Below are 14741 nucleotides of genomic sequence, written 5' to 3'. Positions count from 1 at the left end.
ATCTCTTGTTTTTCTTTAAGTAAATATTTAGTATTTAAACAATTTGGGGTTTATGCTCTGTTAGATCGCAAAGACTGTTAAAATTGATGCCATCCATAATTTTTCTTGCTAGATTTATAACCTTTGCTGGGCCACATGTTCCAGACTATAGTATCACCAAAAATAAAAACAGTGCCATTACAAAATTTTTTTTCTACATGTAAGGTTTGCAACAAAATCAAGTCTATAGTTTAGAAAAATATATAACCAATAAAATCTTGTGCTTTACTAATTAGGGATTTCAGTCTGCACAACAGTTAGCTGTTTATCGTTGATCCTATAACCAAAAGCAAAGTAGATGCTAACACTTAGAGGCTGGATAACGTTAATTAGAACTGAGAATGAAGTGGGACTGTTGTATTCATTATAACAGAAAACAAAACAACACAAAGTGGTAGCAGTAGGACAGATAGGGACAGACTAAAATAGAACCAAACAACCGTTTTAGTGGAGCCAGACTTAATGCTTGGAAATCGAAAAAACTTAAACACATTACACAACCACTCTAAGGATTTTTCAGAGTAGTCTAAACGTGAGGGAATGTTAGAAACAACATTGTTTAATATACTAAAGGAAAAAATTGCCCTTTTTGCTCTTTTTTTTTTTACCAGTGTTTACCTTAATTCAAGGTAATCATTTGGGGTTCTTTTAAATTGTCCTTGCCTAAGAACACAACCTCTTTTCATTATTTCTATTACCAATTATGTGAGGAATAGGGGTATGTGTATGTGTATGTGTGCATACACAACTATGTAAATTTCAGTTATTTATAACTCTTGGAAGTATAAGTCTATATTAATTCAAAAGGAAATAAACCTATGTAAAATAACCATGACTATAATTAATCAACTGTGGATACATGGTGATATAGAAAAAAAAAAGACTTTGTTTTTACTGAGAACAATATTCTGATCAGAATATAATAGGGAAGAATATATGATATTATTTTGAAATATTTGAAACAGTAGATTTTAATCTATTTGGGTCCATCTACTTCCTGATTAACTACACATATGCGTAAAACTATGCAGTGGTGGTCAGCAACTATATATAATGAGGCTTTATCTAAAAATAATGGGTAAGCACTGGATTCAACTGAAGGTTAAGAACTTGTAATTTAGTTTATTTTCTCACAATTACATAATCATATATTCCAGTTTGATAAAAACATTTTTTAAAAATACATAGAAAATCTATGATAAAAGAGAAGTAAATATCAAACTTCTAGAGTGGGAAAAACTTTGAAGCTTACAGAGGAAGTATTATCTAAATATTTGCTATAGTAAAAGTAAAGGGTTCAGTTGGTACTCCCAGAAGGAAAAAAACAAACAAATAAACAAAAGATGAGGAAAAACAAGACAAAGCGTTAGTATCTTTAGTCCACAAAGAAATTTAAAAGTAGACTAAAAATTAAACAAACATTAGGACACCAATAGATAAATAAACCATAACATTAAAAAGTATTCCATTGAAAGAGAAATACATAGTAAATAAATATGTAGAGAAATATTCCTCTCTAGTAACTAAAGAAACAATATGGTAACAATGATGAAGAAGGGTTGATTATACTCTTTGACCCAGTAATTCTACTTCTGAGAGTCTACTTTAAGAAAGTAATCCAAAACATGGGAAAATATACATTCATAAACTTATCAGTGTACTTATTTCATTGAAATCAATGTAAAAAAATGACAGAGGAACAGTCAAGAATTGGCTATATACTCTAAAGCTCACTACTGATCACTTAAAATGTGACTAGTGCAAAGAGAGGCTTGAATTTTAAATGTAATTTAAATTTAAATGAAGAAGCTACATGTACATGATGAGCATAAGTAACGTGGCTAGTATGATCGTGAAACTAAATTTTTAATTTACTTTCATTAATTTAAATGTAAAAATTGAAGCATTTCATATTTTTCTGCTGGAGCTTTATTGTTTTGGTAGGACTACATTTTATTTTGACATTGAAAGTTTAGTGACGTAATTCACTGGTATATATGTAAAATAGGTACATTTCAAAGATGTACTATGAAAAGAAGGTTAAAATCTAATAATTTTTATGTCTAATACGGTATATAATTTTTACATGTTGAAACAATAAATATTTTAGATATATTAGATTAAATAAAATCCATTATTAAGCTGTTTCTTTTTACATTTTTCATATGGGTCCTGGAAAATTTTAAATTATATTTCTATTGAATAGCACCACTCCAGAGAATATTTTAAAGATATTACAAATGATGATGATGATGAAAACTAAGTAGTAAAGTAGAAAATGCTTATGGCACATAAATATTCAATTAAATAGAAGACATACAAATAGTGTGTACACAGTATGATTATAACCTACATTAAATCAATAGTAAAAAAGATTATAAGGGAATAAACAAAAGTAAAACTGGTTAAGTTTAGGTACAAAAATTGTGGATAATTCTAATATTTTCTTTGTTTTTCAAAATTTGGTAATATGGTTAGATGTCACTTCTGATAAAAAAGTATTGATTACTCATATCTCTTAAACAATTTTTATCAGGAGAGCCATCTAACTACATCACTGAATTTTGAAAAATAAATTGTAAGAAATATCCGTAAGTTTTCACCCCAATTTAACCATTTTTAGTTTTGGTGTATTTGTGTCTACACAACCAAGAGATGTTTACAAATAGTAAAAAGCTTAACTCAATAAACAGGAGTAAGAGTAGATCATACACAGCTGGGAGTAAGTCTATATTACTTCTTTGAGTAGACAGAAGGCTCAAAAAGGAACAAACTAAATATGAGACTAGAGGCTTTAGAAAGCATAAACCACTATTTATAGAAGAAAAATAAAATAAAGAAGGATGTGTTGTAACAGAAAAATATTTGGACAACCAGAGAGCCCAACCAAGCCTAGACTAGCACTGATGAGGAAAGGGCTAAGACTACCAGATGCTTGTGTCTCAAGATGTATCACTGTCGTCTGTTCTGAAGAACATAATTAGCTTGTTTTCCATGCCATAACTTAGGTGCCATAGTAACACTAGTCAGAGAACAGGGCTGAGAGAATGAATAAATTACAAGTCAAAAATAACAAATATAACAACCATATAGCATGCTTTCTTCCTCTTAATGGGTCCTACATGTTTTGTGGGACTACTCCAAGAAAGTATAAAATACATTTTGTTCTCAGAGTCGATCAAATATGAGTTACAACAAAGCATAGTTCCTATCTGCTTGTAAGAAAAACGTTGGCCCTGACAACGATTAAGATAATGTATAAATCATTTATAATTACAATGTTATAATATGCAGTATTTCACACAAACGACAGCAACAGAATTACTAAAAGAAGAAAGCTAGAACAAATATACTTGTGAATGCCATAAAGGTTATGTTACCAATGACAGAAGGCAATGTAAAGAAATAGAAGAGAATAATTCACTTGGATCTTCTTCCTGTCTATGTGGTTCCTTTTGGAAGCAGAAAATCACATAGTCTGCATATCTTTTACTCTTTTTTTTTTTTTTTTGAGACAGAGACTCGCCCAGTTGCCTAGACTAGAGTGCAGTGGTGCAATCACAGCTCAGTGCACCCTCGACCTCCTGGGCTCAGGTGATCCTCCCACCTCTGCCTCCTAAGTAGCTGGGACTACAGGCATGCACCACGACGCCCAGCTAGTTTTTGTATTTTTAGTAGAAACAGGATTTTGTCATGTTGCCCAGTCTGGTTTCCAACTACTGAGCTCAAGCCATACGCCTCCCTCAGCCTCCTAAAGTGCTGGGGTTACAGGTGTGAGCCACCACACCCAGCTCATTTTAATCTGTTTAAGGATTAAAATACTCCCAACTTCAGGTATGTTATAAATGAAGAAGTCCATTTTTCTTCTATCCCACATAACTCCCTCAAAAAAGGAAGTAAAATGAGGAAAAAGATATAGTAGAAAGAAGATGGGCTTTAAGGGAATACATAGGAGCATATTTATATAGCTCTGTTGAACATAAAGTGTGAGAAATCCTAGAAGTCTATTTCTAGGGGAAAAGATGAGAATGTGGTGAATGCACACTGATATGGTTTGGCTCTGTGTTCCCACCCAAATCTCATCTTTAATTGTGCTCCCACGTGTTGTGGGAGAGACTGGTGGGAGATAATTTGAATCATGAGGGTGGTTTCCCTCATGCTGTTCTCGTGGTAGTGAATAAATCTCACGAGATCTGACGGTTTTCTCAGGGGTTTCTGTTTTTGCCTCCCACCATGATTCTGAGGCCTCCCAAGCCATGTGGACCTGTAAGTCCAATTAAACCTCTTTTTCTTCCCAGTCTCAGGTATGCCTTTATCAGCAGCATGAAAACAGACTAATACACACACTACTATGCAGAGATTAAAAGCAATAAAGGAGTTGGGCACAGTGGCTCCAGCCTATAATCCCAGCACTTTGGGAGGCTGAGGCAGGCGGATCACTTGAGGTCAGGAGTTCAAAACCAGCCTGGCCAACATGGTGAGCTCCCGTCTCTACCAAAAATACAAAAATTAGTTGGGTGTGGTGGTGGGTGCCTGTAGTCCCAGCTACTTGGGAGGCTGAGGCTACTTGGTCGCTTGAACCAAGGAGGTGGAGGTTGCAGTGATCTGAGATCACACCATTGCACTCCAGCCTGGGCAACAGGGCGCGACTCCATCTCAAAAAAAAAAAAAGAAAAGAAAAGAAAAGAAAAGCAATAAAGGAGTAACATCAGCAAGATGGCTGAGTAGGGATACCTGGTGCTTGTCTAACCCACACACAAAAAAAGGATCAAGGCAACAAACAAACAGCTAAGATTTGACTGGAGTGTGAAGGAAGAGTAGTGGGGTGCACTGATAGAATGAAGATGCACCTGTGGTGATTGGAAATCTAGGAAGGCAGCATAGAGGCACTCAAACTCGTGGTCCCATCTTCCCCACCTAGATCAGATCTGCCTGGAGACGGGAGGGAATTGCTATTGCAGGGAAAAAAGTCAGCAGAAGATCCCTACCAGCCTCTTTGCCACCACAAACACATGAAGGCCTTACTACACAAGAATCCCATAGTCCTCACAAGCCCTGAGCCCATTTTGGAGAGCTGCCAGGAATTCATGCAGACGCACTGACCTGGATTAAGAGCACAAGGTGTGTACTCCCCATCCCACCACTGTGAGCCAAACTGCTGTAACATGGCGTCATCTTGAGAATAGCCACCTGTGTAGTATGCCCTCCTCTGGGGGGAAAGTGGCCACTGCACCTCTCCAGAACTGGGGCTCCATCTTCATTATGCCAACTCCAAACAAGTTTCTGAACACCATGATCCAAGCTGGTGAAGGCTGGACCCTGGACTGGCTGTTATTCTGGTCTTGCACAGCAAGAAAACCAAGAACCATGGCCATACCACCAACAGAGAAACCAGTCTGCCAGTCCTACCCACAGCAAGCCTGCTCTTAAGCTGGCCAAACTGCTGGGCTCCCTTCTCTAAGCAGGAGACCTCCCTGAGCCTCTGAGAAGGTGATATGGCCCAGGGCCAGCAGAGTAGGGCTACCTGCAAGCAATCAGAACCTGAGAAACAGACACACAGGTCCCCCATAGGCACGCCCTTGGCCTGCCCAACAGTCCTTTACCCCCAATAATGGCCTGAGAGATAGTCCCGCAGACTGCCCCCGTGCCACAGGGAATATCTCCAAGCCAGCCAAGTGGCCAAAAGCCCACGTCCCCGACCTGAAAGCTGCTCCTGGCAGGCATGTCCCCAGGTTGCCCAAGCAACCTTATACTTGTATTTCTGGTCAGAGTAACAGCCTTGTGGCCCCAGTCTCAGTAAGCCAATCTCACCAACCAAGTTGGCTGACCTACTATGTGCACATACATACCCCAGACCTGAGAAACAGTCTAGTGAGCCCACCCCTGGCAAAGTGGCATCACCATTGCCACAAACTCTCTCAGCCCATGCCACTGAGAAACTCACAAATGCCACTAGAGTGGATTACAGCTGAAGAAATTACTCAGAGACTACAAAACTGTATCTAGAAATAAGGCTAATGTACCCCACCAAACCAACAACCCAAGACTCATTCGTATTCTTTCTTATGAAATCTATTCCATAAAATTAAAAGAGGTGACTTTTCCACCAGATGCATAGAAATCAACACAGGGACACATCAACCGTGAAAAAGCAAGAAAAAGCCTGGGCAACATGGTGAAACCCTGTCTCTACTAAAAACCACAAAAATTAGCAGGGCATATTGGTGAGTGTCTGTAGTTCCAGCTACTTGGGGAGTTGAGGTGGGAGGATCACTCGAGCATACGAGGTAGAGGCTGCAGTGAGCCGAGATTGTGCCACTGCACTCCAGCCTGGGCAACAGAATGAGAACTTGTCTTAAAAGAAGAAGAAGGAAAAAAAGCAAGAAAACATGTAATGTCAAAAGGAAAACAATAATTATCTAGTAACAGACTCCAAACTATAAGGAAATATATGAAATGTGGGAAAAAAATCAAAATAATAATCTTAAAGAAATCCAATAAGATACAAGAGAATACCGATAGATAACTCAACAAAGTCAGGAGAAGAGTTTATGATTTGAAAGAGAAATTCAACAAAGACAGATATCATAAAAAAGAATGAAGCAGAAATCCTAGAGCTGAAGAATTTAATGAATGAAATAAAAAATACAATAAAGAGCTAAACAACAGACTAGACCAAGAAGAAGAATTTCTGAACTTGAAGAATGATCTTTTGAAATAACACAGGCAGACTAACTTTAAAAAAAAAAAGAGAATGAAAAAGCCTAAAGGATTTATGGGATACCATTAAGCAAATAAATATCTCCAGAAGGTGAAGGGAAAGGTGAGAAAAACATATTTAATGAAATAATAACAGAAAGACAGAGAGACATCCAAGTCGAGAAAGCTCAAATATATTCACCTCAAACAGGACCTCTGCAAGGCACATTACAGTTAAATTGTCAAAAGTCAAAGACAAAGAAAGAATTCTAAAAGCAGCAAGATAAAAGCATCAAGTCATATAAGGGAATCCCCATTAGACTAACAGTGAATTTCTCAGCAGAAATCCTATAGTCCAGGAGAGGACAGGATAATATAGTCAAAGTACTAGAAGAAAAAAATTATTAGCCCAAGAATACGCCCAGCAAAGCTAACCTTCAGAAATAAAGGACAAATAAAATATTTCACAGACTAGCAAAACTAAGGGAATCCATCACCACTAGTCTGGCCTTGCAAGAAATGCTCAAGGGGGTCTTACATGTGGAAATGAAAAACAATAATCACCATCATGAAAATATGTGAAACTATAAAACACACTGATAGAGCTGCTGTACAAAGGAGAAGGAGAAAGGAATCAAACCTTTTCACTAGAGAAAACCATTCAACTGCAAAAATAACACTGAGAGAAAGTAATGAACAAAGGATATACAAACCACCAGAAAACAATCAATAAAATGACAGGAGTAAGTCCTCACCTATCAATAATAACACGATTGTAAATAGATTAAGTTCCACATTTAAAAGATACATACTAGCTGAATGGATTTTAAAAAAACAAGACCCAATTATATGCTATCTACAAGAAACTTGTATCACCTGTATACACACACAGACTGGAAGTGGATGGAAAAAATATTCAGTGCAAATGGAAACTAAAAGCAAACAGGAATAGCTATAATTATACGAGGTAAAACACTCTTCAAGTCAAAAGCTGTAAAAGAAGACAGAGGGCTACTATATAATTATAAAAGGATTGATCCAACAAGAGAATATAACAACTGTAAATATATATGCACCCAATACTGAAGCACCCAGATATGTAAAGCAAATATTATTAGATCTAAAGTGAAATAACAGTTGGGGACTTCAACATCCCACTCTCAACACTGGGCAGATTATGTAGACAAAAAGTCAACAAAGAAACATCAGAGTTAAACTGCACCATAGACTAAATACAACAGATATTTATAGAACATTTCAGCCAACAGTGGCAGAATACACATTCTTTTCATCAGCCCATTCAACAGTCTCAGGATCAATCGTGTGTAAGGACACAATAGAAGTCTCAAAATATTCTTAAAGGATCAAAATATCAAGTACTTATCTGAACACAATGGCGTAAACTTAGATATCTATAACAAGAGAATCATTTAGAAATATACCATTACATGAAAATTAAACAATATGCTCCTGAATGACCAATGGATAAAGAAAGAAATTAAGAATAAAATTTAAAAATTCTTTGACACAAAGGAAAACAGAAACACAACATACCAAAACCTATGGGACACAGCAAAAACAGTATTCAGAGTCAAGTTTATAGGAATAAATGCTTATATCAAAAAACAAGAAAGATTTCAAGTAAACAACTTGATGATAAACCTCAAAGAACTAGAAAAGAATAAACTAAACCCAAAATTAATGGAAGGAAAGAAATAATAATGATCAGTGTAGAAATAAACAAAAATAAGACAAAAAAAATACAAAAGATCAACAAAACAAAAAGCTGGCTTCTAAACAAAATTGACAAACCATTAGCTAGAATAAGAAAAAAGAGAGAAGATCTAAATAATTAAAATAGGAAACAAAAAAGGAGACATCACAAAAGATACTACAGAAATACAAAGGATCACTAGAGACTACCGTGAACAACTATATGCCAACAAATTTGAAAACCTAGAGGAAATGGACACATTCCTGGATACGTAAAACCTACCAAGACTGAAAGAAGAAATAGAAAGCCTAAACAGACCAATGACAAGAAACAAGATTGATTTAATAACAAAAAGTCTTCCAACACCAAAAAAAAAAAAAAAAAGTCCAGAACTGGATGGCTTCACTGTTGAATTAAAACCAATTTGTCCCAAATTATTCCAAAAATGAAGCAGAGGAAATACTTCCTAATTGATTCTATGAAGCCAACATAACCGTGATACCAAAAACAGATAAGGACAAAACAAAAAAAGAAAATGATAGGCCAATATCCCTGATGAACATACATGCAAAAGTCCACAACAAAATACTAGCAAACTGAACCCAACAGTGTCTCAAAAAGATTATGAGCAAGTGAGGATTATCCCAAGAATGCAAAGATGGTCCACCATATGTCACTGAATGAATGTCTTATATCCTATCAATAGAATGAAGGACAAAAATCATATGATCATCTCAATGAAAAGCAGAAAATGCTTTTGATAAAATTTAATATTCCTTCATAAAAACTCTTAATAAATTAGGTATAGAAGGAAAGTACCTCAACATAATAACATGTTGAAATTACCTCAACATGACAAACTCACAGCTAGCATCTTACTGAAACCTGAAAGCATTTCCTCTAAGAACTGGAACAGACAATGATGCCCTCTCTCACCACTCTTATTCAACATAGTACTGGAAGTACTAGCCACAGCAATTAGGCAAGAGAAAGAAATAAACCATATCAAAATTGAGAAGAAGGAAGTTAAATTGTCCCTATTTGCATATGTAATGATTCTACATATTAAAAAGCCTAAAGACTCTACCAAAAAACTCTTAGAACTGATAAATGAATTCCATAAAGTTGCAGGATATAAAATCAACACACAAAAATCAGTAGTGTTTCTGTACATAAACAACAAAGTAGTTGAACAAGAATTCAAAAAGGCAACCTCATTTACAATAGCTAGAAAAGAAAATAAAATCTTGGGAACAAACTGAACCAAGGTGATAAAAGACCTCTACAAGGAAGATTACAAAACACTGATGAAAGAAATTGAAGTGCATACAAATAAATGGAAAGACATCTATAGATTCAGTGCAATCCCTATCAAACTACCAATGACACTTTTCACAGAAATGGAAAAAAATTCTAAAATTTGTATGGAAACATAGAAAACCCTGAATAGCTGAAGCAATCCTGAGTAAAAAGAACAAAGCTGGAGGTACCACACTATCAGACCTCAAAATATATCACAAAGCTATAATAACACAAACAGCATGGTACCAGCATAAAAACAGACATATAGACCAATGGAAAGGCATAGAGAACCCAGAAATTTATCCACATTATCTACAGCAAAATGATTTTTGACAAAAGTGCCAAGAATTGTCATTGGGGAATGAATAGTCTGTTCAATAAATGGTCCTGAGCAAACTGGATAGCCATATGCAGAAGAATGAAACTACACTTCTACCTCTCACTGCATGCAAAAATCAACTCAAAGTGGATCAAAGAGGCTGGGCATGGTGGCTCACACCTGTGATCCCAACATCTTGGGAGGTCAAGGCAGGTGGATCTCTTGAGCCCAGGAGTTTGAGATCAGCCTCGACAACATGGTGAAACCCTATCTCTACAAAAAATATAAAAATTAGCCAGGCATGGTGGCATATGCTTGTAGTCCCAGCTACTCAGCTGGCTGAGGCGGGAGAACTGCCTTAGCCTAGGAGGTCAAGGCTGCAGTGAGTCATTATCGCACCACTGCACTGCAGCCTGGGTGACACAGCAAGACCCTGTCTCAAAAAAATGATCAAAGAACTAAATATATGACCTAAAAGGATAACCCTCCTAGAAGAAAACACAGGTGAAATGCTTTAGGACATTGATCTGGAAAAATATTTTATGAATACAACTTCAAAAGCACAAGCAACAAAAGTAAAAATAAACAAATGAGATTATATCAAACTGAAAATCTTTAGCACAGCAAAGGAAACAATCAATAGAGTGAAAAGACAACCTACAGAATGGGAAAAAATATTTGCAAACTATTCATAACATCAGATAGGGGATTAATACTAAGAATATACAAGGAACTCAAACATCTCAATAGCAAAAAACCAATCTTATTAAAAAATAGGTAAATGATCTGAACAGACATTTCTCAAAAGAGATACAAATGGCCAACAAATATATGAAAAAGTGCCCAACATCACTAATCATCAGAGAAATGCAGATCAAAACCACAATGAGGTATCATCTCACCCCAGTTAGGATGGCTATTATCAAAAAGAAAAAAAAATGTTGGTGAGGATGGAGAAAAGGGAACTCTTAATACATTGTTGGTGGGAATAGCCACTATGGAGAATAGTTGGAGTTTCCTAAAAACCACAAGTAGAACTACTACATGATCCAGCAATCCTACTACTAGGAATTTATCCAAAGGAATGGAAATCATTATATTTAAGGGACATGTGTACCCCTATGCTTATTGCAGCACTATCCACAATAGCCAAGATATGGAACAAACCTAGGTGTCCAACAACAAATGAATGGATAAAGAAAATGTGTAATGTATACACAAAGAAAAACCATTCAGCCATAAAAAAGCATAAAATCCTGTGGTTCATGGCAACATAGATAAAACTGGAGGACATTATGTTAAGTGAAATGTTAGGAACAGAAAGTTAAACATGGTATGTTTTCACTCATAAGTAGAAGATAAAAAAAAGTTGATCTTATAGAAGTAAAAGGTAGAACAGAGGATATTGGAGGCTGGGAAAGTAGGGGGAAAGGAAGGATAGGGAAAAATTTGTTAAAGGATACCAAAATTACAACTAGATAAGAGTAAGTTATAGAATTCTATACCTCTGCAGGATGACTATTTAGTTAACAAAAATATATTAAATAGTTTAAATAGGTAGATGGAGGATATTAAATGTTCTTAACACAAAGAAATGATAAATGTTTGAGATGATGGATATGCTATTTATCCCTGTCTGATTACTATACATTACAGGTATCAAAACATCATTATGGGCCGGGCACGGTGGCTTACGCCTGTAATCCCAGCACTTTGGGAGGCTGAGGCAGGCATATGAAGAGGTCAAGAGATCGAGATCATCCCGGCCAACATGGTGAAACCCCATCTCTACTAAAAATACAAACATTAGCTAGGTATGGTGGTGCACACCTGTAGTCCCAGCTACTCAGGAAGCTGAGGCAGGAGAATCGCTTGAACCCAGGGGGTGGAGGTTGCAGTGAGGCGAGATCGCGCCACTGCACTCCAACCTGGCGACAGAGTGAGACTCCGTCTCAAAAAAAAAAAAAAATCATAATGTATTCCATGAATATGTACAATTATTATTTGTAAATTATTTTTAAAAAAGCAGTAAACTAAGCCAGGCCCAGCTGCATGCACCTGTAGTTCCAGCTATTTAGGAGGCTCAAGTGGGAGGATAGGGTGAGGCCAGGAGTTCAAGGCTATCTGCACAATGATCACACCTGTGAATAACTACTGCATTCTGGTCTTGGTAACATATTAATAGCAAGACCTTGTTTCTTATAAAATAAAAATGTGTGTTTCTTATAAAATAAAAATATAAAAGCAATAGAGTAGAAACATATATATCAAATCAGACAAGCTATAATTTACCCTTTTATATATTATGTATAATTTAAACACATATGCATGCATCTAAAATAACACAATACAGTCTTAAAGGACACATCCAAATGTAAGAGCCATATCAAACACATTAAGAGTACCCATGGTGGGAAGAGATCAGGAGTGATATGAAAAATAAAAAAAGAGAGAAACTATGCCTAAGTCAGATGAAGATAATTTGATAAGACCCAAGGAGAATTAACTCAATTCTCCTTAGTTTAAACCAACTAGTAAACTTATTTTAAAAATTTTTGCTAATCTGTCTACTTATTAACTATGTGACTCTGGACAACATTAACTTTACTAGGCTTTACTGTTCTCACCTGTAAAATGGGAATAATAATGTCTCTCAAGGGTTGTGAGAATTAAATAAATGCTTAATATAGTTCTTGGCCTATAGTATGCATTCCATACATATTTACATTGTATTGATATTATTCCTCTAGAAATAACAAGAAAGTTAGAAAGTCTTCTGCCTCCCATCAGAAAAGTGAGTTTTATGTTACAACTGTTAGTTACAGTGCTGAACAAAAGTATGCTCTTTAAAGATCAACAGTTTGGTGTTTCCTTTGAAATACATATACATAAAGCAAAATCCATCATTCCCTTTTAAAAAGCTATCCCTGCCTCCTTTCTCTCCTTGATTTAATCATCCTATATCTTGCTGACAGATTAATCACCCTAATCACTCTTCTTTTCCTAGTAAATTGAATCCAAATGCCTCACACCCCAGCATTCAAAGTGCTCCACGATAGTACTCCAACTTATAGTAAACCAGCTGTAATCTACATTACTTCATAACATATGTCCTTGCTTCAGTCATATAGAATAATTTGCTTCTCCCAAAATAAATCTTGAGTTTTTATGTTTTTCCTTCTATCTGAAATGTCCACTACCTCTACATGTTAGAATTTACCAACATGTCAATGCCCATTTAAAATCTAACAAATTCTTTCTTCATTCCCACTAACAGATGTACACATTCTTCTTTGAATGCCCATAATATGTGATATTATGAAATAAATGAGGGTAATTATTTTATTTTACTTAATGATATAAGCAACTTGTATTTGTCTTACCACTCTGACCTGACCATAACCTTAAAGGGAAGAGCACTTCTTACTTTTTTTGTTTGATACAGCAAAAAGCACAGAAAATTTTTAAATATGTGATTACATTTTTGTTAAGATGCTACACAAAATCCCATGTCACTAGAATGTGTTTTCAAATTTGTTTTTTTGTTTTTTTTTGAGAGGGGATTTCACTGTCACCAGGCTGGAGTGGAGTGGCACGATCTCGGCTCACTGCAACCTCTGCCTCCTGGGCTCAAGCGATTCTCCCACCTCACAGCCTCCACAGAAGCTGAGACTACAGGTGTGCACCACCACACCTGGTTAATTTTTGGATGTTTTGTAGAGATGGGGTTTTACCATGTTGCCCAGGCTGGTCTCAAACTCCTGGGCTCAAGCGATCTGTCCACCTCAGCCTCCCAAAATGCTGGGATTACAAGTGTGAGCCACTGTGCCCAGTCTAGAAAGCAATTTTGAAAAAAAGAGAAAAAAGAAAGACTGCTGCCTTTTCACATGCTTATGGAAGAATGCATTCATTTTAGAGTTGAACAACTCTCTCAAATTCAGAGAATCTGAAACTTTCCCAGTTTACAGTGTTTTTAGTGTTTTTGTTATTTTTTTCATTTTTTCATGGTATGCTAACAAATGCCTAACAGTCCTGTTTAATGTTAAGTCCAAACAATTTAATAAGTACTAGCTTCAGAATTTAATACTCAGTTAAGAAAAATACATATAAATTGAAAAAAGTTTTTAAAATCTCATTAAAAAATAACTACAATACAGTTGACCCTTGTACAACTTGGGTTTGAACTGCATGGATCCACTTGTGTGTAAAAATTTTTTCAAGAAGTATATCAGAAAATTTTTTGGAAATTTGTGATAGTTTGAAATACTCTACAGACAAACTGTGTAGCCTAGAAATATTGATAAAAATTGTTAAGTATGTCATGAACTCATAAAGTATATGTAGATACTATTTTATCACTATCATAAAACTATAAAAATGTATTATAAAAAGTTAAAATCTATCAAAACTTACACAGGCAAACACTTACAGACCATACACGGCAGCATTTGAGTCAAGAGAAATGTAAACAAATGTAAAAATTCAGTATTAAATCCTAACTGCATAAAATGAACTGCAGTAAATACTGTACTATTGTAACAACGTTGTAACTACCACCTGTTGCTTTTGCAGTGAGCTCAAGTGTTGTATCCATTGAAAATGACATCTGATGCTAATCATCTCTGAGTGAACCCTACATCTTACAGTAAATTGCATATTGCAATAAAA

At 35.7% G+C, this 14741-nt stretch overlaps 1 protein-coding gene and 1 long non-coding RNA gene across 16 annotated transcripts in view; one reads left to right on the top strand and one right to left on the bottom strand.

Annotated features, from left to right (window-relative positions):
• Window positions 1-14741, bottom strand: part of ADK (adenosine kinase) — a 558070-nt gene that overhangs the window by 188052 nt on the left and 355277 nt on the right. The gene's annotated exons all lie outside the window — the stretch shown is intronic.
• Window positions 1-14741, top strand: part of ADK-AS1 (ADK antisense RNA 1) — a 22827-nt gene extending 8086 nt beyond the window's left edge. Inside the window, exons 3-5 of the long non-coding RNA NR_120673.1 lie at window positions 11730-11847; window positions 12824-12867; window positions 14646-14741. This is a non-coding gene — a long non-coding RNA (ADK antisense RNA 1). The remainder of the gene's footprint in view (window positions 1-11729; window positions 11848-12823; window positions 12868-14645) is intronic.

This window comes from Homo sapiens, chromosome 10, assembly GCF_000001405.40.
Source record: "Homo sapiens chromosome 10, GRCh38.p14 Primary Assembly".
Lineage (NCBI taxonomy): Eukaryota > Metazoa > Chordata > Mammalia > Primates > Hominidae > Homo > Homo sapiens.
This window is presented reverse-complemented; position numbering and strand designations above follow the sequence as displayed.